Source organism: Homo sapiens, chromosome 14, assembly GCF_000001405.40.
Source record: "Homo sapiens chromosome 14, GRCh38.p14 Primary Assembly".
Classification (NCBI taxonomy): domain Eukaryota; kingdom Metazoa; phylum Chordata; class Mammalia; order Primates; family Hominidae; genus Homo; species Homo sapiens.
Genome location: NC_000014.9, coordinates 25263252 through 25285633, shown reverse-complemented (window position 1 = coordinate 25285633; position 22382 = coordinate 25263252). Strand labels below are relative to the sequence as shown.

At 39.5% G+C, this 22382-nt stretch overlaps 1 pseudogene; it reads left to right on the top strand.

Moving 5' to 3' along the window:
- Positions 18188 to 19381, top strand: HMGN2P6 (high mobility group nucleosomal binding domain 2 pseudogene 6; annotated as a pseudogene).

Below are 22382 nucleotides of genomic sequence, written 5' to 3'. Positions count from 1 at the left end.
TGGGCATAGCTACCGTAATGGACAGCAGAGGCAAAGCATCAATCAGAATCATGTACAGCTCTGGCACTGGCTAATTAATCACGGTGTTCCTAGAAGTGAAATTGATAGGAAGCCTACTGCATTCCTACTTTAATTATACAAACAGAAAACTTCTAGGTCGAATGGAAAAAAGACTAACTCGAATTATAAAAACAGAGAATCACGGCCCCTCAATCAATTTCCAGACTTGAGCCAGTTTACAGACCCAAAACCCCTTGAATGAAGGGGAGGCCAGGTCTCCTTGAGGAAGGACCCCATTACCAATAATTTATGCAGTGGATCTTTCTCCCATCCTTCCCCAAGGAGACTTCCAGCCTTTCACCAGGGTAACTGAGCACTGGGGAAGGGGAAATAATCAGACATTTCAGGGACTACTGGACACTGGCTCTGAGCTGATGTTGATTCCAGGGGACCAAAAACATCACTGTGGTCCTCCAGTTAATGTAGGGGCTTATGGGGGTCAGGTAACATATGGAGTTTTAGCTCAGGTCTGACTTACAGTGGGTCCAGTGGGTCCCCGGACTCATCCTGTGGTCATTTCCCCAGTGCCAGAATGCATAATTGGCATAGACATACTTACCAGCTGGCAGAACCACCACACTGGCTCCCTGACTAGTAGGGTGAGGGCTACTATGCTGGGAAAGGCAAAATGGAAGCCAGTAAAGCCGCCCCTACCTAGAAAAATAGTAAATCAAAAACAATATCTCATCCCTAGAGGGACTGCAGAGATTAGTGTCACCATCAAAGACTTGAATGATGCAGGGGTGGTGATTCCCACCACATCCCTATTCAACCCTTCCATTTGTGCAGAAGACCGATGAATCTTGGAGAATGACAGTGGATTACTGTAAGCTTAACCAAGTGGTGACTCCAATTGCAGCTGCTGTACCAGATGTGGTTTCATTGCTTGAGCAAATTAACACATCAATTGACTTGGCATTGACTTGGCAAATGCCTTTTTCTCCCTTCCTGTCCATAAGGCCCACCAGAAGAAATTTGCCTTCAGCTGGCAAGGCCAGCAATATACCTTCATTGTCCTACCTCAGGGGTATATAGATTCTCCAGCTTTGTGTCATAATTTTATATGGAGAAACCTTGATCACTTTTCACTTCTGCAAGATATCACACTGGTGCATTGCATGATGACATTATGTTCATTGGATCTAGTGAGGAAGAAGCAGCAAACACACTGAACTTATTGGTGAGACATTTGCATGCCAGAGGATGGGAAATAAATGACTAAAATTCAGGGACCTTCTACCTCAGTAAAATTTCTAGGGGTCCAGTGGTGTGGGGCCTGTCGAGATATTCCTTCTAAGGTAAAGGATAAGTTTCTGCGTTTGGCCCCTCTTACAACAAAGAAAGGGGCACAATGCCTAGTGGGCCTATTTGGATTTTACAGGCAACACATGCTTCATTTAGGTGTTACTTTGGCCCATTTATCAAGTGACCCAAATGGCTGCCAGTTTTGAATTGGGTTCAGAAGAGAAGAAGGCTCTGCAACAGGTCCAGGCTGTTGTGCAAGCTGCTCTACCACTTGGGCCATATGACCCAGCAGATCCAATGGTGCTTGAGGTGTCAGTGGCAGATAGGGATACTGTTTAGAACCTTTGGCAGGCTCCCATAGGTGAATCACAGCGGAGGCCTCTAGGATTTTGGAGCAAGGCCCTGCCATCTCTTCTGCAGATAACTACTCTCCTTTTGAGAGATAGCTCTTCACCTGTTACTGGGCTTTGGTGGAAACTGAACGTTTGACTATGGGTCATCAAGTCACCTTGCGACCTGAACTGCCTATCATGAATTGGGTGCTGTCTGACCCACCTAATCATAAAGTGGGTTGTGCACATCAGCCTTCCATCATCAAATGAAAGTAGTATATATGTGATCTGGCTCGAGCAGGTCCTGAAGACACAAGTAAGTTACATGAGGAAGTGGCTCAAATGCCCATGGTCTCCATTCCTGCCACCCTGCCTTCTCTCCCCCTGCACCGATGGCCTCATGGAGAGTTCCCTATGATCAGTTGACAGAGGAAGAGAAGACTAGGGCCTGGTTCACAGATGGTTCTGCACAATATGCAGGCACCACCTGGACGTGGACAGCTGCAGCACTACAGCCCCTTTCTAGGACATCCCTGAAGGACAGTGGTGAAGGGAAATCTCCCCAGTAGGCAGAACTTCGAGCAGTGCACCTGGTTGTGCACTTTGCGTGGAAGAAAAAATGGCCACATGTGGAATTATATACTGATTCATGGGCTGTAGCCAGTGGTTTGGCTGAATGGTCAGGGATTTGGAAGAACCATGATTGGAAAATTGGTGACTAAGAAATTTGGGGAATAGGTATGTGGATGGACCTCTCTGAATAGTCAAAACCTGTGAAGATATTTGTATCCCATGTGAATGCTCACCAATGGGTGACCCCAGCAGAGGCAGTGTTTAATAATCAAGTGGATAGGATGACTTGTTCTGTGGACAACACTCAGCCTCTTTCCCCAGTCACCCCTGTCATCGCCCAATGGGCCCATGAACAAAGTGGCCATGGTGGCAGGGATGAAAGTTACACATGGCTCAGCAACATGGACTTCCACTTACCAAGGGTGACCTGGCTACGCCCACTGTTGAGTGCCCAATTTGCCAGCAGCAGAGACCAACACTGAGCCTTTGATATGGTACCATTCTTCAGGGTGATCCGCCAGCTACCTGGTGGCAGGTTGATTATATTGGACCTCTTCCATCATAGAAAGGAAAGAGGTTTGTACTCACTGGAATAGACACTTACTCTGGATATGGGTTTGCCTATCTTGCACACAATGCTTCTGCCAAGACTACCATCCATGGACTCACAGAATGCCTTATCCACCATTATGGTATTCCACACAGCATTGCCTCTGACCAAGGCATTCACTTTACAGCTAAAGAAGTGTGGTAGTAGGCTCATGCTCATGGAATTCACTGATCTTACCATGTTCCCCATCATCCTGAAGCAGGTGGGTTGATAGAACGGTGGAATGGCCATTTGGAATCACAATTACAATGCCAGCTAGGTGACAATACTTTGCCGGACTGGGGCAAAGTTCTCCAGAAGGCCATGTATACTCTGAATCAGGGTCCAATATATACTACCGTTTTTCCCATAGCCAGGATTCACAAGTCAGGAATCAAGGGGTAGAAGTGGAAGTGGCACCACTCACTATCACCCATAGTGATCCACTAGCAAAATTTTTGCTTCCTGTTCCTGTGACATTACGTTCTGCTGACCTAGAGGTCTTACTTCCAGAGGGAGGAATGCTGCCACCAGCAGACACAACTATTCAATTAAACTGAAAGTTATGATTGCCACCTGGACACTTTGGGTTCCCCCTACCTTTAAGTCAACAGGCTAAGAAGGGAAATACAGTGTTTGCTGGGGTGATTGACCCAGACTATCAAGATGAAATCAATCTACTGCTCCAAAACAGAGCTAAGGAAGAGTATCCATGGAATACAGGGGATCCATTAGGGTGTCTCTTACTATTACCACGCCCTGTGATTGAGGTCAATGGAAAACTACAACAGCCCAATCCAGGCAGAACTACAAATGGTCCAGACCCCTAAGGAATGAAGGTTTGGGTCACTCCACCAGGAAAGAAACCACAACCTGCTGGAGTGTTTGCTGAAAACAAAGGGAATACAGAATGGGTAGTAGAAGAAAGTAGTCATCAATACCAGCTATGACCACATGACCAGCTGCAGAAACGAGGACTGTAACTACCATGAGTATTTCCTCCTTCTTTTGTTAAAAACATGTTTGTGCATGTATATACCTGTACTAAGAAAATATATCTTCATTTTCTTTTCCTTTATCATGTGACATAAGATTTACTAACTTCATATCAGCATTTAAGTATTGTTAACTTTATGTAATAGTATTTGGGTTGGGGATTGGTGGGTTTCTGGTTGTATGAAGGACAGCTGTATTGTGTTAGGCATAATTTTGACCTTATTGTCTTTATTTGAAGACTGTGTGTGATCTCAGGAGATGTGTATGGGTTGAAGTTGACAAGTGGTGGACTTGTAATGGTTAATATTGAGTGTCAACTTGATTGGATTGAAGGATGCAAGTATTGATCCTGGGTGTGTCTGTGAGGGTGTTGCCAAAGGAGATTAACGTTTGAGTCAGTGGGCTGGGGAAGGCAGACCCACCCTTAATCAGGTGGGCACCATCTAATAAGCCACCAGTGAATACAAAGCAGGCAGAAAAATGTGAAGAGGCGAGACAAGCCTAGCCTCCTAGCCTATATCTTTCTCCCTTGCATCACATAGATGCTTCCTGCCCTGGAACACTGGACTCCAAGTTCTTCAGTTTAGGGACTCAGACTGGCTCTCCTTGCTCATCAGCTTGCAGACAGCCTATTGTGGGACCTTGTGATCATGTAAGTTAATACTTAACAAACTCCCCTTTATATCTATATGATATATAGATATATATGTATCTCTCTAATAGGATATATATATATAGATATATAGATATATATATCCTATTAGTTCTGTCCCTCTAAGAGAACCCTGCCAAAGTGGATTTTCTGAAAATATAGTGGTTGCCACTGAGACACATTGAAATATTAGTTTTAGGAAGGATTACAGTAAGGTTAGCCTAAACACTGGGCTAATATTGTAAGAAAAATCAATGTGTTCTCTCTATATGTTAATGGACAAATAAAAGGTGATCTACAATACATAGCCTAATAGATGTGTGGCAATGATTTAAGGCTTGATCTGTTAAAAGAGATATCTTAGCCAACTTAAATTTAACAGCATTTAATTGAGCAAAGAACAATTTGAGAATCAGGCAGCCTCCCAAGCCAGAGTAGGCTCAGAGAGACTCCAGCACAGCCACATGGTGGAAGAAGGTTTATTAACAGAAAAAGGAAAGTGAGGTACAGAAAAGGGAAGTGAGGGACAGAAATAGCCAGATTGGTTACAACTTGGCATTTGCCTTATCTGAACACGTTTTGAAAAGTCGGCCCCCTTTGATTGGCCAAAACTCGGTAACTGGCACAATAGTTTGTCACAGTCTGTTTACATCTCTATTTAGGTTGTAGTTCACTATGTACAGAGGCTGAAGTTAAAATACATAGGGAGGCTGAGGTTAAAATACATAGGGAGGCAGCTTTAGGCTAAACTTGATTGAACAAACCTTTGCTTTAGAAACATTTGGAGCCAAGCATGTTGGAATGTACCTGCTGTAATCCCAGCTACTCAGGAGACTGCAGGTAAGGAAGAGGAGTGTTGGCGAGGTGGGGGTTGTGGGGGTGTGATCCCTTGAGCCCAGGAGTTGGAGGCTGAAGCTATGATTGTGCCACTGCATCTCAGCCACCTGGGTGACAGAGAGAGACCCTATCTTTAAAAAAAAAAAAAAAGTAAATCTAAGAATCATTTTGCGGATGGAAATATCCACTGAGTATATGTAATTGTTAGAGGAAGCAATAATTACAAAAGGGAATAAAAGTATACAGGCTGTTTCTGGCATTATGTTTTAAATAAATTATATGGGCTATAGGTTATGGAGCCCTCTACTTTAGATTAATATTTATCAAACATTCACCTTTCTGTACTCTTTCCAAAGACACCAACTATACCTTTGATATTCCATTCTGTATTTTATAATAAACACCTCTGATTGTAGAAATTTTGAATGGGAATGGTAGTTAGAAGGTAAAGATAAAGAAAAGAAGAAATAAAGAAGGATGCAGGTGAAAGGAAAAAGTAAATAAGTTAATGACACAGTGAGCCAAGATCGCGCCACTACACTCCAGCCTGGGTGACAGAGTGAGACTCCGTCTCAAATAATAATAATAATAATAATAATAATAATAATAATAATAATAATAATAATAATAATGATGTTAATGATAGAAAAAGTGGAGGAGAGATTCATGAAGGTAAAAACAGATATGTTAAGTCAGTCAATATCTATATTTTCCCCTAACAAGAAAATTCCTTTTGCAAGCTCTTGTATCACTTGCTCACTTAACTTGCCCACCCCAAATTCCATCATGCTGATAGTCCAAAATTGCAGTTCTGGGTTTGCATAGGCATTCTACATGCTTTCTCTATGTCTCTTCTTTTGTCCTAACTTTTTTCCCCTAAGACAATCATAAATCTTACTAAGTTATCTGATCTCCCTAATGCCCAGGCTGATATTCTGCCAACATGCCCCAGTTTAGCCATGACAGTTGTTTATGGCCAGTGTCCATTCTAACTGGTGGTCTCACATCTCCTAGATCATTTTCTGGATTCGTTTCTCTTATTATTTGAGTATTTCTTCCAAATGTTTTTAATGTGAATCTTTGCATAGCAAATTGTATGAGGTCCTTCATGCCTGATAATGTTTTTATTCTTCCCTTTTATTTGAATAACAGTTTGGATGGATATAAAATTATAAATTCAGTGTTACTTATCTTCTTTAAAATTATTTCTTCATTATCTTTTTGTATGCATTGCTACTATTGAGAAATCTGATATCATTCTGATTCTTGTTAGAAATTTGATGTCAATCTGATTCTTGGTCTTCTTTAGATGATTTGCTTGTATACCCTGGAAGATATTCAAATTTTATATTTGTTTTGATATTGTTACATTTCACATAATGTGTGTTAAATTTCACATAAATTTATTTTCGTAAGGTGCTGGAGGTCCTACTGGAGAAAAATGATATTAAAGGGAGATAGGTAAGTCAGCTTGAAATAATAATTAGTCATGAGGCATTAGGGATACTTCTGAGAAAGGGTAGAATCTCTCTCAGATCTGCCCCAACCTGTCTTCCCAGGAACTTCTGGACTACTTCTATGGGAATGAAGGTCGTTTGTTAGAGAAAAGCAAAAGAGTTGCTTACACTAAAGTTTCTTTAAAACATGGCCTCAAGGTGGAAATACTGTGGTACCCCTTTAGCAGAGTAATATATAAGGAAGAGGAGTAAAGCATTGTGTGCCTGCTCTGTACCCAACCTTGAGCTTAGTGCTGGGAAGTTTTACCATATGAAATGATGGAGACTCTGCCCCTCCAGTGATCCAGGGCAGTCACAGCCCCAACAAATACAGCCATTCCCAGTGGAATCAGCAGGGGTGCCTGGGAGCTTTGGTGGTGGTGCCTGGAAAAGCAGCAGCAGGAATGGGCAGAAGTGGTGGTACCATTGGGACAGGGCAATACCATGGCAGATGGTCTGGAGCCTAACAGGGAAAGCAGGTGGACACTGCTTTCTACCCAGTGTGTAAAAATCTGGGGTAGAATTGTCTAATACAGAGTGGGAGAGACATTTTCAGATAACTGTAGCAAAAGCTACCTTGAGGTTCTAGGTTCAGAATCAATTAGGCCATCACATTTCTCTCTAAACATTAATTCCTACTACACAGAAAATATAGCCATAGAATTGTGAGCTGATGTAGAAGATGTAAGATCATAGATCAGTGTTTTAAAGCTGTCTGGGAACTTACTGGCTAAGCTAATCATCGAAACTTTTAAGAGTTGCTCAGCAGTTACTATTGCTGAACCTAAAACACAAATAATAAAGCCCCAGATGTGAGCATCTCTAAGCTATTGGGCTTTATATTTCCTAAGTGGAATACCACAAAGAGTTTATTTGAGAATTCTTATTTTATAATATTTTCAAAATAAATGAACTATATTCTCTAGAAGTTAGAATGTAGTACAAAATGCCATATAAGACGTTAAATTCTAGTCAATTTTGTGAACTGTGGACTTTGGCAGTGGACAATCAGCTGTATAAAATGGCTTCATCTTTTTCAAACTGATCAAGATTAGTGGATTCAATGAGATAAATACCAAAAGGGTTGACACAGGCAGAACCAGCCTGGACAACAGACTTCCTCACTTCTGTGAGCCTAATGCTCTCAAGCGCAGCTCTAACCCTGGGTCAAACTACTTATACTTCCTCCAAAGACTTAAAGTTAAAAAGTAGAAATCTGTTTGATTTTCCTTGAAATATTTTTATACAGTATTTCTATTATCTGATCATAGGGACGATTGATGACTATTTTAAAAGTATAGATAAAGGTATGGATATGGATACAGAGCTATAAGCTTTCCCAGTGCTTTTTACACTTCAAGTACTCCAATACCTAATTCATTTGGAATACAAATTTAAGTTAATTTTTTTCATTATTTCAATCCCAGTGAAAAATTTCCTTTCAAACTACCAATATTAAATGTACAACTAAATAGCAAAGTGTACTTAATGTGGACTTTACACTCAAAACAATCAGGAATTTTTTAAATGCTGTTTGGTAGGATTCCAAATTTTTTTTACTATAATCTTAAACACGTGTTTATCTTTTGCAGTTATACTTATTTACAATCAAACTTAAAATAAGACAGCTCAAGAAAGTGATTTAGTTTACTTTTTACTTTGGAGGCTTGTTCTTAGTTCATAACATTTCCGAATATTGCGTTAACAAATAAACCCAGTAACTGTGCTTACAGGTAGAGTCATAAGACCATCTTTGCAGGTGCCAGTTTAAACAGGGTCCCTAGTCAGGGTAACATTAATGCTCAGGGTGCCTGCTGTCTGTTGATACTACTGGAACTTAATATACTAAACAGATGTATGATTGGTTCTACCTAAGATTACATTTCTCAATTCCAACTATATTTAACTAAAACTTTCATTGAAATTTTATAAACAAGGAAATTATTCGAAAATAAAAAAAACACAACTTAGATAAACCAATTACAAATTTGTTAAACCTTAAACATTTCAAATCATTCCATACACCATTCAAAATAGGCTCTCAAGTCCTGCTGTCAAGCCACTGGCTCTGTGGCCCAGAACTGCTTTGGTTTCCAATGTTTCATCTGTACTTCTACATTTACTTTCTTCATAGCTTTGTGGAAGAGAGCTGTCAGCCCTATAATTCCACAGAATATCTTGTCTTACAATGCAAAACCTGTCTTGTATTAATCATAGAAATAGTTTCTACAGGACTTCTCTAACATAACCGCTGTCCCTTCCTGCCTAAGCTTCCTCTGACGGTGTCTACTGTCATGGATGCACCATCATCTAGGCTCACAGCCTCACAGCCCACATCTGACAACTATGACTTCACCGTATGATTGCTCAACCTTGTTGATTCTTTACATATTTTAAGAAACATTTGATTTGATTCTATAATTGGGGGAGAGTAAAAACTAGATTCCTGACTGATGCTCATGGTTGGTACATGGTTATAAGAAATGTATATTAAAATAATTAATGTTCTGCGGTAAGAGGATGTGAATCTTTTTTTTTTAAATTAAGACTACAGAGGCCGGTAGAGTTAGATTCATTCATTCATAAACTCATTCATCGATTCTTTCATACAGATTGAAGAAATCTTTGTAACTATCTACTCCTGTTCTGTTATTTGACAAATGAGGAGACTGAGGCTAAGAGACATATCTGAAGTGTAGTCACCAAGAATCAGAGTGTGGTGTGATGTGGCTCAGTGTGCCCTCTGCTAAGGCAGTGACCCAGTGTGGCCACCTCGGAATGGTTGGTACCCCTGTTTCCTCCAGTAGCAACACAGGATCCCAGGAGCAGAGGGAAGTCTTTGGCCACAGCACAGAGGCTTTGACAGGTCACTGTTAAAGCAAAGAAATACATCTCAGGCTCTATGAGAGACCTTAAAATAGCTCCCAAGTGGCAGCACTGCTTTGAATGGCTTTGGAAAGACATCATCACACCCACAACCCAGAGAAAGCTTTTAGTTCAAAGGTGAAGAAGCTTGCATGCCAAGGTCAAGGAGCTGGAGCCTCAGTAATGTTCCAATAATCCAGACACGTATTCATCCCTGTGGGTATTGAGGAATGTTTAAATTTAACGGGGGGAAGTGCTGTCAAAGTGAACACAAGGAACTCCCTTTTATTTAAAGCTCTTGTTCCTCATTCATTCTGGATGGTGAGTAATATATCTTAAGGTTGGAGGGGAATTGACAAGCAATCGTAGATGCCTGGTGATGGTTTTCAGCTTGTGTGGCAAAGCTGAAAAGTGGGGGGGAAATAAATACAGAGAATATTTAAAGTCACTAGCATCCCAAGGTGGCCAAAGTACTCATTAATAGTTTCAAACACTGGGCACAGAATAAGTAGTTTTCAAAACAAGTGCATGAATTCATCAGCTGTTATTACCACAAGGGCCAAGCTTGGGAATTAACAGGGCATGTGGCTGGAAAAACTGCTTCTGTTTTGCCTCTAACACAATGTCATATGAAAGTAGGCATTTAATAAATACTTTAGTTACCCTGATGAGTTGAGTTTTACCTGTAGTAAGAGTTATAGGAACATCAGTCAAAATTAAGAAAGCTAAAATTCTTATTATATGAAGGTTGCAGAATTATTAAAATAGACAATCTTTGTATTCTTAAAAAAAAATAAAAATCCAAGAAATGTTAATGGTCAGATGAGATGTGCCAGGAAATTTTTTCCACATTTCAACAGGAAATATAAAAAGTTAATTCACTGAGATTCGAGTACATAGTATGTTTATTATCTATTAAGATTTTAATAGATAATATATATTTGAATCTCAGTTAAGTAACTAAAATTTTAATAGGTAATAAACATATCAGAATATTCAATGCAAGTAATAACCCAAAATCCAAATTAAAAAACAATAACTAAATTAGCACAGATTATGCCCAATGCTGATGAGGATACAATAAACTGGGCAATTCTCTTCTGCTGATAGACATGTTAATTAATTCTTTCTTTCTGGGGAAAAAAATAGCAATATACATCTAAAGCCTAAAATTGCTTATAGCTTTTAAATCAGTAATTCTTTTTATAGTTATCTTGCCAGGAAAAGTAATTTTAAATACAAAGCGTTATGTAAAATTTGCTTATACCAGCATTATTTTTAATACTAAAAAATCAAAACCAACTTAAATGTTTAAGGATTCCAAGAATAATTAATAAAATACATAAAATACCCAAACATATGCACGCAAGAAAAAATTTTAAATGCTAGAAGGAAAATTTTTGAATATCTGGATAATAAGATTCTCCAAATTCTGAGATATGCATGATGATGTAAAATTCTAGGGAAAAAAAGATATCCTTTTTTTAAAGATACCCACTAAAGATAAAAAAGGTATCTTTTTTTTAAAGATACCCACCTTGGAAGTGGGTTTTCTATGTTTTAGAGTATTTTTCAACTAAGAGGACATCCAGCTTCAGTTTAAGTGGGGTCAAATGTGTCAAAGTCTCTCATTACAAAGTAGCTCTATCCATTCCTGGGTCCTTATACAGGTTCCAGCCAGCCATATGAAAACCTGATACTGAAGCCAAACTTTGTGACAAGTACCTACTCCCTTTTCTCTCTGATGAACTGGGCCAAACTCCTGAAGGGTTAAAAGCCCTGCACAGACACTTCCCTTCATCATCCTCATTTGAGGTCTTTTTCCTTATTTCATACCAGGCCTCCCCAGTCATTGGCTGCATTGAAAATATTACCTGCAGTCCTGTGAATCTTACGCCTCACTGGGAACATACATCTGCCCGTGCTAAATGCTTTCATTCTATTATTCAGTTACTCTGTGCTGTTCCTACCAGTTAGAATATAGGCCCCCATAAAGCTGGCAGGCTCAGAACATGAATAGAACTTTCTTTTCCTAGAATACTTAAGCATACACTCTGAAACATGGGAAATCCATCTCTTCATCACAGTTTGCTAATTTTTACATCAAAAAATTACAACTAGCAATGTCAACTGACACACCTAGGGATGTTACACTTGCCCATTTCTGTAAAGAATTCTTACAGAAAGAACCAAAGATGTTTTCCTTCCTTCTCCAGTCCCACTGATCACTGTGGGCAAGACATCTATGGGGCACTGGGTATCAGCAGAGCTGGTAATAAACATGCTGAAAAATAACCAATGAATGCTTGAAACAATGGAATCCATAATTCTTCCCAAATGGTTTTGTGTAACGAATCCAAATATGGAGCATAATTAGAAGCCAGTCATATAACATCAGCCTATTTGGGATTGTTTCACTTTAGGCACTTTAGGCGGGTGTTTTGAATTGTGTTGTAGCTAATTTCGTGTAATAAGCTAAGTCGTAAAGAATGTTACCATCTTGAAAAATGGGGTAGGCTCACTGTAGGCGAAGCTTACAGACCTTAATCATGGTAGAAAAGTGACCCTAGTTAAAGGAGAAGCTGGTTATGTGAATTCTTTTTGTAGCATAACCATTCAAAACAAGTTACCCCAAAGCACCAATACATTTTAAAGCATGGAAGGCTTACAGCACTTGACAAATATATATAACATTATGGAACAAAATAATATCTCTTCCACAGACAAGACTGTATTGTTTATCATTATTTTTGATGGTTTGGAAGGAGATTCAGCAATATCTGAGAGCTAAGTGCCCTCTCTCCTACTTCCTTTTGTATCATTTGTCACCAAGCAGGCACTTGCTTTAAAACTATTGAAGGTTTTTCAGAATAATACGTTGTTTACTTGCCTTCCTGACTACCAACTTATTGCTCTCCCCTATGAACTGCGTGAATGTTTTGAAGTTATGGGTCTTCCTTTGCAGACCCTATTCATAGTCATACGGGGAATTTTTTTTTTCCCAAAGGGAAGAAGGGATGCTACAATGAAGAAAGTGTTTCCATTATTGGTTCCAGCTACAATCTGAGAAAAAGCGAAAAAAGAAAAAGAAGTGAAATGGGAGTAACAAAAGAGTAACTGAAGCAGGGGGGAAATTAGAGGATGAAAATGTCCCCAGGATATTGGAAAAGATGAAATTGCATAAGAGCAGCAGACCTTTGAATAGACACTAGGGACCCGGAGGAACGTTAATTATAATGAAAATAAATTGCTATAAGAAAATAAGAGGGAGAAGAGTAGAACTGTGGTTTTTTTTTTCTAAGACAGCTAAATTAAGAAGTCTTCAATATGCATTCAAGACCTCACCTGAAATTATTTAGAAAAATCATGTCTTGAAATCTCAAGGGTAAGAGTGGCCCACTCTCAGAACTTACATCTTTTAGCAGTGACTTTGGATAAAGCTGAAACATATTGAGGCATCTCATTAAAAACTGGCCTTTGCTTTATCCAGTCTCACAATCCTCTGAGGAATATGCTAGGGCTGTTTGCGAAGGTAAATTTTACCTATTAGGGAGGCTGAAATGCAGCCTTTCTCCAGAACAGTTAAATGTCTGAATCTTCATTCTTTATATATGATACGATCCACAGCTATAGTTCCCTATAGGAAATTTTGGAAGACTGGGGAAACCATATCTCTGTCTAATCTCTATGTTATCACTTGCCTTAAGTAAATATCTCTGAAAATCTACCTATTCTTTTTGCAATTAAATAAACTTTAGGCCTCTAACTGTATCCATGGATATCTTTCTGAAAATCACATTACTGCCCCAATGAGACTACTACACAGGAAGCAATTTTATCTAGGCACAGAAAGAGAGAGTGTATGTGAACCACTGCCCAGGGTCTCGATTTTCCCTACAAGAAAATGACATGCAATTTGAAAATGTCTATCAGCAATGGTTATTAAACAAACTTGTAGGCACGTACCATGAGCACAGCCTAAATCTGGAATTTAAAAGGATACAGAAGTAAATGCCTCTGTTTTCAAGTAATTTACAACTTAATGGAGAAGATTCAATAAATAAAAAGTAGAGAATAGTAAGTACCACTAAATAGGAAAACAAAATGCCTCAGGAGTTCAGAGAAAGGAGCAATTAATTCCTACTAAGTATCTTAGAAAAGCTTCTAATACTGGCTATTTTTTTAATTGGGAGGAGGGTATATAAAGAGAAGCATATAAAGTATTTGGAAGGAAAGGCATTTTGAGCAAAGAGAAATGTATGACTCAAGGTATAGAGTTGAGAAATTACAAAATGTGTACAGGAAGAACTTCTAATCCAGTTTTACTAAAGCACTGGGTATATGAAAGTAGACTGCATTGTCTACTTCTCCCATCCTTTATTAGGGCTCCAACCTTGGATAGCAATCAAAAGCAAAGTTTCTGGAGCCAGAATGCTTGCCTTCAAATATGTTCTCTGTCACATCCTTTCTAAACAATCTATGTAATTCCTATACAATCTATGCAAGTAAATGAATTTCTTTTTGCTTTCATTGCCTACCTGAAAAATAAGGATCATATAAGCACATATTTCATAAGGTTGTCACAAGAAATAGAGCTTTTAGAAGACAGAATGGCACATGATGAGCGCTCAGTGAATATTAGTTATTATGACCCTTATCTTGGAGAGTCTGCAAACATGGAGGCCCATAAGTAAAAATTTCTTATCTTTTCTCCTAGTTGCATCAATATAGTTTCTTTAGCTCATACTTAGAAAGCTTGGGCCATTGGGGTGGGGAAGCAGCATATATAGTTTTTAAAAGACTGTTAAATAACCTGAGAGTCTTGCACACCTGCTTTTTATTCCTGCCATTAATTATCTCTATGACCTTGAGCAAGTCACGTAAATTATCTATGCTATGGTTTGAATATATTTCCTCCAAAATTTAGGTGTTGCCAATGTGATAATATTAAGAAGTTAGGTCTCAAGGGCTCCTTCCTCATGAATGGAATTAAGGCCCTTATTTTATAAGGCTTCATATAGCATTTTGTCTCTTGCTCCTCCACCTTTCACCATGTGAGAGCAGAGCATTTCTTCCCTCCAGAAGATGCAGGGCCCTCACCAGATAACTGACTTATTCTTGGATTTCCCAGCCTCTCATATTTATTTATAATCTCTGTTCTTCATAAATTATCCAGTCTCAGACATTTTGTTATAGCGACACAAACAGACTAAGACACTGTGCATCTCAGATTATGTAAAATAAGTGAGGAGTTCCTGTTAAAAACCAAAGTTGAACATACTTCAAAATGATAGTAAAAGTTTGTAAAACATATAAATCCACAAAAACAGGGAATGGGAGAAAAGACAACAGAAGATAAGTGACTGTAGAGGATGAATAGCAGATAGATGATGGTAATTGCAGAGACACACAACTGCAACCAAATTGTCAGCACAGGAGAAAGTCAGTAAGAAGCAACCCAACTGTGGTAGGATAAGTAATGGCCTCCAAGATATCCACATCCCAATCCCTGGCACTGTAAATATGTAATCTTACATGGCAGATGAGACTCAGTAGGATCTTGAGATGGAGATGTTGTCCTGGATTATCTGGGTGGGCCCAATATAATCATAAGGGTCCTGAAAAGAGAAAGAAGGGAATAAGCAAGTCAAAGATAGAGAACAAGACGTGATGATGGAAGCAGAGGCTGGAGTGACGCGAGGTCTGAGCCAAGGTATGCAGCAAGCTTTGCAAGCTAGAAAAGGCAAGAAAACAGCCCACCCTATGGGTAGATAGGAAGATGGTGGTTAGGAGACAGGGCTAACATGCAGCTTCCACATGGACAGATGGAAGAGCGTGTGGAGACTCACACTGTAATCTTTTGCTCCAAGAACCACCAGAGGAATGTATCAGGAAAACCAAAAGAATTCACAGATCCTTTGAAAGAGGCAGTACACTGATGCAAATTCCATGAAATGGTGAAAAGCTGTGAGTTCCCAGAGTGTGACGGGGGAAAACCAGCCTCCAAATACACATTCCTCCTGGGGAATCTGAAAATCCAGATTATGGGAGAAGGATTTAACCTTACCTAGAGAAGAAATGAATTTAGAGAGTAGTGCAAAATATAAAAGTAGAAGTAGCATCAGGAAAGTGCCTTGCAGGTACTCCCAGTATCCAGCTCGAGCCTAGGGAAGCCATTCTTGACTATATACAAGAAAGGCCCTTGGGACAGGCAGCCAGTGGAATTGGGGAGGGGTCACAAGGCAAAGGAGGCTCCCAACTGAAATTGGTAGTGGTTTCAACTGTGTACAAATTTTATTGAGCAAAGTTTGGGGGATGAGTGGGAGCTGCTGCAGGTATGAGTGCAGGAGCAGCCGACAGAGTGGGCAGGTGGGGAAGGGTGAGATCTGAAAGCCATAACTGCTTTCTCAGTGGGGTAGCACATGGCCTGGGGTAAGGTCTGAGCAAGGCACTGCAGGAGTGAGACCAGCCTTACCAACTCCATGGGAGCTTGGTGAGGCCTCTCGCTACCAGCTTTCCTCTACTTCCCTGGCAAACTATATGATACAGCGGAGGCAGCACTCTGGAACTAACCCCCTCTGGAACATAATCCCATTGGCCAAAGAACCACAATCCCTCCATCCCCACAGTGGCCATAGCAAGCCCCACCAAAGGATAAGCTGAGCCCAGATCTGCCTACCTCTACCCCCACCTAATGGAATTTCCCTCCCCACCCTGGTAGCCAAATATAAAAGATAGAAACTCTTGGGAGCTTTATGGCCATGCCCATTGCCTGAGAAACCAAAATACTTACCCTGGCTATCTTAGGGCAATCTTAGAGCCTGCTACTACTACCACCACTGCTAGTGGTCTCTTGAAAGCACTACCTCCTGGCTGAAGGCCAACCAACTCAGACCATTACAGCAATTCATGACAGAATAACCCTGATCCCAGGAAGAAGATAACATCTAACTCCACTGCCTGCAACATCCTGACAAATCCAAGCTTCTGAGTATGTCCATGTGACAACTTCACTGCTAGCATGACCAGCATTCAAGAAAGCCAGCACACTAAACATATATACAACCAAGGACTCTCACAGAGTCTACTTCACTTTCCTCCCACATCTACCAGAGCAGGTACTGGTATCCAAGGCTGGGAGACCTGAAGATTGATCACATCACAGGACTCTGCAGACATCCTTTAGCACCAGCCTGGAGCCTGGAAGCCCCACTGGGTGACTAGACCCAGAAGAGCGATAACAATCACTGCAATCCAGCTCTCAAGAAGCCCCACCCCAGGGGAATGGGAAGAGCACCACATCAAGGGATCACCCCATGAAACAAAAGAATCTGAACAGCAGACCTTGAGTTTCAGACCTTTCCACTGAAATAGTCTACCCAAATGATAAAATGATAAGGAACCAGAAAAGTAATTCTGGTAAAATGAAAAAACAGGATTCCATAATACCCCAAAAAAATCACAACAGCTCCCTAGCAATGGATCCAAACCAAGAAGAAATCTCTGAATTGCCAGATACAGAATTTAGAATGTTGACTATTAAACTATTAAAGGAGATACCAAAGAAAGGTGAAAACCAACTCAGAAATTTTTTTTAAAATGCAGGATATGGATGAAAAATTTTACAGAGAAATAGATATCATAAAGAAAAAGCAATCACAACTTCTGGAAATAAAAGACACACTTAGAGAATTACAAAATACAATGGAAATTTTCAACAATAGACTAGAACAAATAGAAGAAATAACTTTAGAGCTCAAAGACAAGGCTTTTACATTAACCCAACCAGAGAAAGACAAAGAAAAAGGAATTTTAAAAAATGAACCAAGCCTCCAAGAAATTTGGGATTATGTTAAACAGCCAAACCTAAGACTAATTGGTGTTGCCGAGGTAGAAGAAAAATCTAAAAGTTTGGAAAACTTATTTGAGGGAATAATTGAGAAAAACTTCCCTGGCCTTGCTAGATATCTAGACATCCAAATACAAGAAGCTCAAAGAACACCTGGGAAATTCATCACAAAAAGATAATCACTTAGGCACTTAGTCATCAGGTTATCTAAAGTCAAGACAAAGGAAAGAATCTTAAGAGCTGTGAGACAAAAATCATCAGATAACCTATAAAGGAAAACTTATCAGATTGACAGCAGACTTCCCAGCAGAAACCTTACAGGCCACAGGGATTAGGTCCCATCTTCAGCCTCCTGCAACAAAATAATTGTCAGCCAAGGATTTTGTATCCAGTGAAACTAAGCTTCACAAATAAAGGAGAGAGAAAGTATTTTTCAGACAAAGAAACAGAGAGATTTTGTCACTACTAAGTCAGAACTACAAGAAATGCTAAAAGGAATTCTAAATCTTGAAACAAAACCTCAAAATACACAAAAATAGAACCTCCTTAAAGCATAAATCTCACAGGGCCTAAACACAACAGAGAAAAAAAAAGTATTAAGGCAACAATTAACATGATGAATGGAACAATACCTCACATCTCAATACTAACATTGAATGTAAATAGCCTAAATGCTCCACTTAGAAGATACAGGAGCAGTGTGACGAAGAAGAGGCGAGAACGACCCCCGGACTGACCAAAGCCCGCGCGCAGCTGCATCCCGCATCCAGCACCTACATCCCGCCACCGTCGTGGCCGTCACCATGCCCAAGAGAAAGGCTGAAGGGGATGCTAAGGGAGATAAAGCCAAGGTGAAGGACGAACCGCAGAGAAGATCCGCGAGGTTGTCTGCCAAACCTGCTCCTCCAAAGCCAGAGCCCAAGCCTAGAAAGTCCCCTGTAAAGAAGGGAGAGAAGGTACCCAAAGGGAAAAAGGGAAAAGCTGATGCTGGCAAGGAGGGGAATAACCCTGCAGAAAATGGAGATGCCAAAACAGACCAGGCACAGAAAGCTGAAGGTGCTGGAGATGCCAAGTGAAGTGTGTACATTTTTGATAACTGTGTACTTCTGGTGACTGTACAGTTTGAAATACTATTTTTATCAAGTTTTATAAAAATGCAGAATTTTGTTTTACTTTTTTTTTTTTTAAGCTATGTTGTTAGCACACAGAACACTTCATTGTTGTTTTTGGGGGAAGGGGCACATGTCACTAACAGAAAGTCTCCAAAGCTGGATTTATGTGAGGAAAACACCTTTCCCTTCTAGTTTTGAGAGACTTCCTCTTGGCTCCCAGGAGGAGGGATTCCCTGACTCTGACACACATGGCCACCTTGGCACAAAAGCCTTGTGGTATAGAAAAACAAATTCGTTTTTATGTCCTCTTCTCCTTTTCCATCTTTCAGCATAGACTTAACTCCCTTGAGCCGAGACATCTGTTGGGACCTGACCCCCAGTCATTGATTACCAGTGTGTCAGGCAATCTGGACTTTCCAGTGATGCCACTGAGATGGCACCTGTCAAAAGAGCAGTGGTTCCATTTCTAGATTGTGGATCTTCAGATAAATTCTGCCATTTTCATTTCACTTCCTGAAAGTCAGGGTCGGCTTGTGAAAAGTTGTTAAACAACATGCTAAATGTGAAATGTCAACCCTCACTCTAAACTTTCCCTGTTCAGAGCATCAGATGAAGACTTCATTGGGTTTTATAGTGGCTTTCTGATTTTTGGTAGTCCATTGAAGAAGGGAGTTTGAAAGTTGTTGTATACTGTTAACAATTGTCTGCCCATGTCCTGCCTGAAATACCATGATTATTTATGGAAAGTATCTTTAATAAAGCTGGATATGGTTTGAAAAAAAAAAAAGAAGACACAGAATGGCAGAATGCATAAGAATTCACCAACCAAGTTTCTGCTGTCTTCAAGAGATTTACCTAACACATAAAAGATTCACATAAACTTAAGGTAAAGGGGTGGAAAAAGGTAGTCCACACAAATGGAAGCCAAAAGTGAGAAGGAGTAGCTGTTCTTATATCAGACAAAACAAACTGTAAAGCAACAACAGTTAAAAAGACAAAGATGGATATTATATAATGATAAAAGGACTAGTCCAACAGGAAAATATCATAATCCTGAATATATATGCAGCTAACACTGACAATCGCAAATTTATAAAACAATTACTACTAGACCAAAGAAATGAGATGGATGGCAATGCAATAATAGTGGGGGACTTCAATACTCCACTGACAGCACTAAACAGGTCACCAAGACAGAAAGTCAACAAATAAACTATGGACTTAAACTATAACCTAGAACAAATGGACTTAACAGATATTTACAGAACATTCTACCCAATAGCTGCAGGATATACATTCTTTTTTCAGCATGGATTCTCCGAGATGGATCCATTCTCCAAGATGGATCATATGATAGATCACAAAATAAGTCTTAATAAATTTAAGAAAATAGAAATTACATCAAATATCCTCTCAGACCACAGTAGAATAAAACTGGAAATTAACTCCAAAGGGGTTTATTCTATACATTAAACTATACCCTAAACTATACAAATAGTATAGTTTATTAGTTTAGTTTAATATATAAATAGTATAATTTATATATATAAAATAGTATAGTTTAATATATAAATATATATATATATTTATAAATTTAGGGTTTATTCTATACCCTATACAAATACAAGGAAATTATATAATCTGCTCTTGAATGATCTTTGGGCCAATAATGAAATCAAATGGAAATTTAAAAAATTATATGAGCTGAACAATAATAGTGACACAACTTATCAAAACCTCTGGGATACAGCAAAAACAGTGCTAAAGGAAAAGTTTACAGCATTAAATACCTACATCAAAACTCTGAAAGAGCACAAATAGACAATCTAAGCTCACACCTTGAGAATCTAGAGAAATAAGAACAAACCAAAACCAAACCCAAACCCAGCAGAAGAAAGACATAACAAAGATCAGAACAAAATTAAATAAGAAATACAAAAGATAAATGGAACAAAAAACTAGCTTTTTGTTTGTTTGTTTGTTTGTTTGTTTTTAGGAGATTAAGTCTTGCTCTGTCTCCCAGGCTGGAGTGCAGTGGCGCGATCTCAGCTCACTGCAAACTTCGCCTCCTGGGTTCAAGCGATTCTCCTTCCTCAGCCTCCTGAGTAGCTGGGATTACAGGCACAAAATACAAAAATTACTACCATGTCTGGCTAATTTTTGTATTTTTAATAGAGATGGGGTTTCACCATGTTGGTCAGGCTGGTCTCAAACTCCTGACCTCATGATCCGCCCTCATCAGCCTCCCAAAGGGCTGGGATTATAGGCATGAGCCACCATGCCCAGCCAAAAACTAGTTCTTTTAAAATATAAACAAAATCAACAGACCGTTAGCAAGATTAACCAAGAAAAGAAAAGACCCAAATAAACTCAATTAGAAACGAAAAAGGAGATATTACAACTGAGACCACAGAAATACAAAAAGTGGTCTAAGAACATGAATAGACAATTCTCAAAAGAAGATATACAAATGGCCAAAAAACTATGAAAAATGCTTAACATCACTAATTATTAGGGGAAATGCAAATTAAAAAACACGATGAGATGCCACCTTACTTCTGCGAGAATGGCCATGATTTAAAAATCAAAAAATAATAGATGTTGGCATGGATGTGGTGAAAATGGAACACTTTTACACTGCTGGTGGGAATGTAAACTAGTACAACCACTATGGAATACAGTGTGGAGACTCCTTAAAAAGTTAAAAGTAGGACTACTATTTGATCCAGCAATCCCACTACTGGACATCTACACAGAGGGAAAAAAGTCATTATAAGAAAAAGACACTTGAACACACATGTTTATAGCAGCACAATTCACAATGGCAAAAATGTGGAACCATCCTAAATGTCCATCAATCAAGGAGTGGATAGCTGGGCATAGTAGCTCATGCCTGTAATCCCAGCACTTTGGGAGACTGAGGCGTGTAGACCACCTGAGGTCAGGAGTTCAGGACAAGCCTGGCCAACATGGTAAAACCCCATCTCTACTAAAAATACAAAAATTAGCCAGGCATGGTGGCAGGCTCCCATAATTTCAACTACTGGGGAGGCTGAAGCAGGAGAATCCCTTGAACCCGGGAGGCGGAGATTGAGGTTGCAGTGAGCCAAGACCACGCCATTGCACTCCAGCCTGGTCAATAAGAGTGAAACTCCATCTTAATAAACAAACAAACAAACAAAAAAAGAGCAGATAAAGAAAATGTGGTAAATATACACAAATATTACTCAGCCATAAAAAGGAATAAAAGAATGTCTTTTGCAGCAAGTTGGATGGAGTTGGAGACCATTATTCTATGTAAAGTAACTCCAGAATGGAAAAACAAATATTGTATGTTCTCACCTGTAAGTGGGAGCTAAGCTATGAGGACACGAAGGCATAACGATGATACAATGGACTTTGGGGACCTGGGTAGAAGAGGGCCCGGGGGAAGAAATAAAAGACTACACATTGGGTACAATGTACACTGCTCAGGTGATGGGTGCACCACAATCTCAGAAATTATCACTAAAGAACTTATCCATGTAACCGAAAACCACCTGTTCCTCCACAAACTAGTGAAATTTTTTTAATTAAAAAAAAAAAAAAGAAAACATTCCATCCAGAAGCCACCAGAAGGAACACAACCCTGCCAACACCTTGATTTTAGCTCCATTAACACTCATTTTGGACTTGAAAACTCTGAGATAATAAATTTGTCTTGTTTTAAGGCACTAAATTTATAGTAATTTGTTACAGTAGCAACAGGAAACTACACATCAATTCACACCACAGAA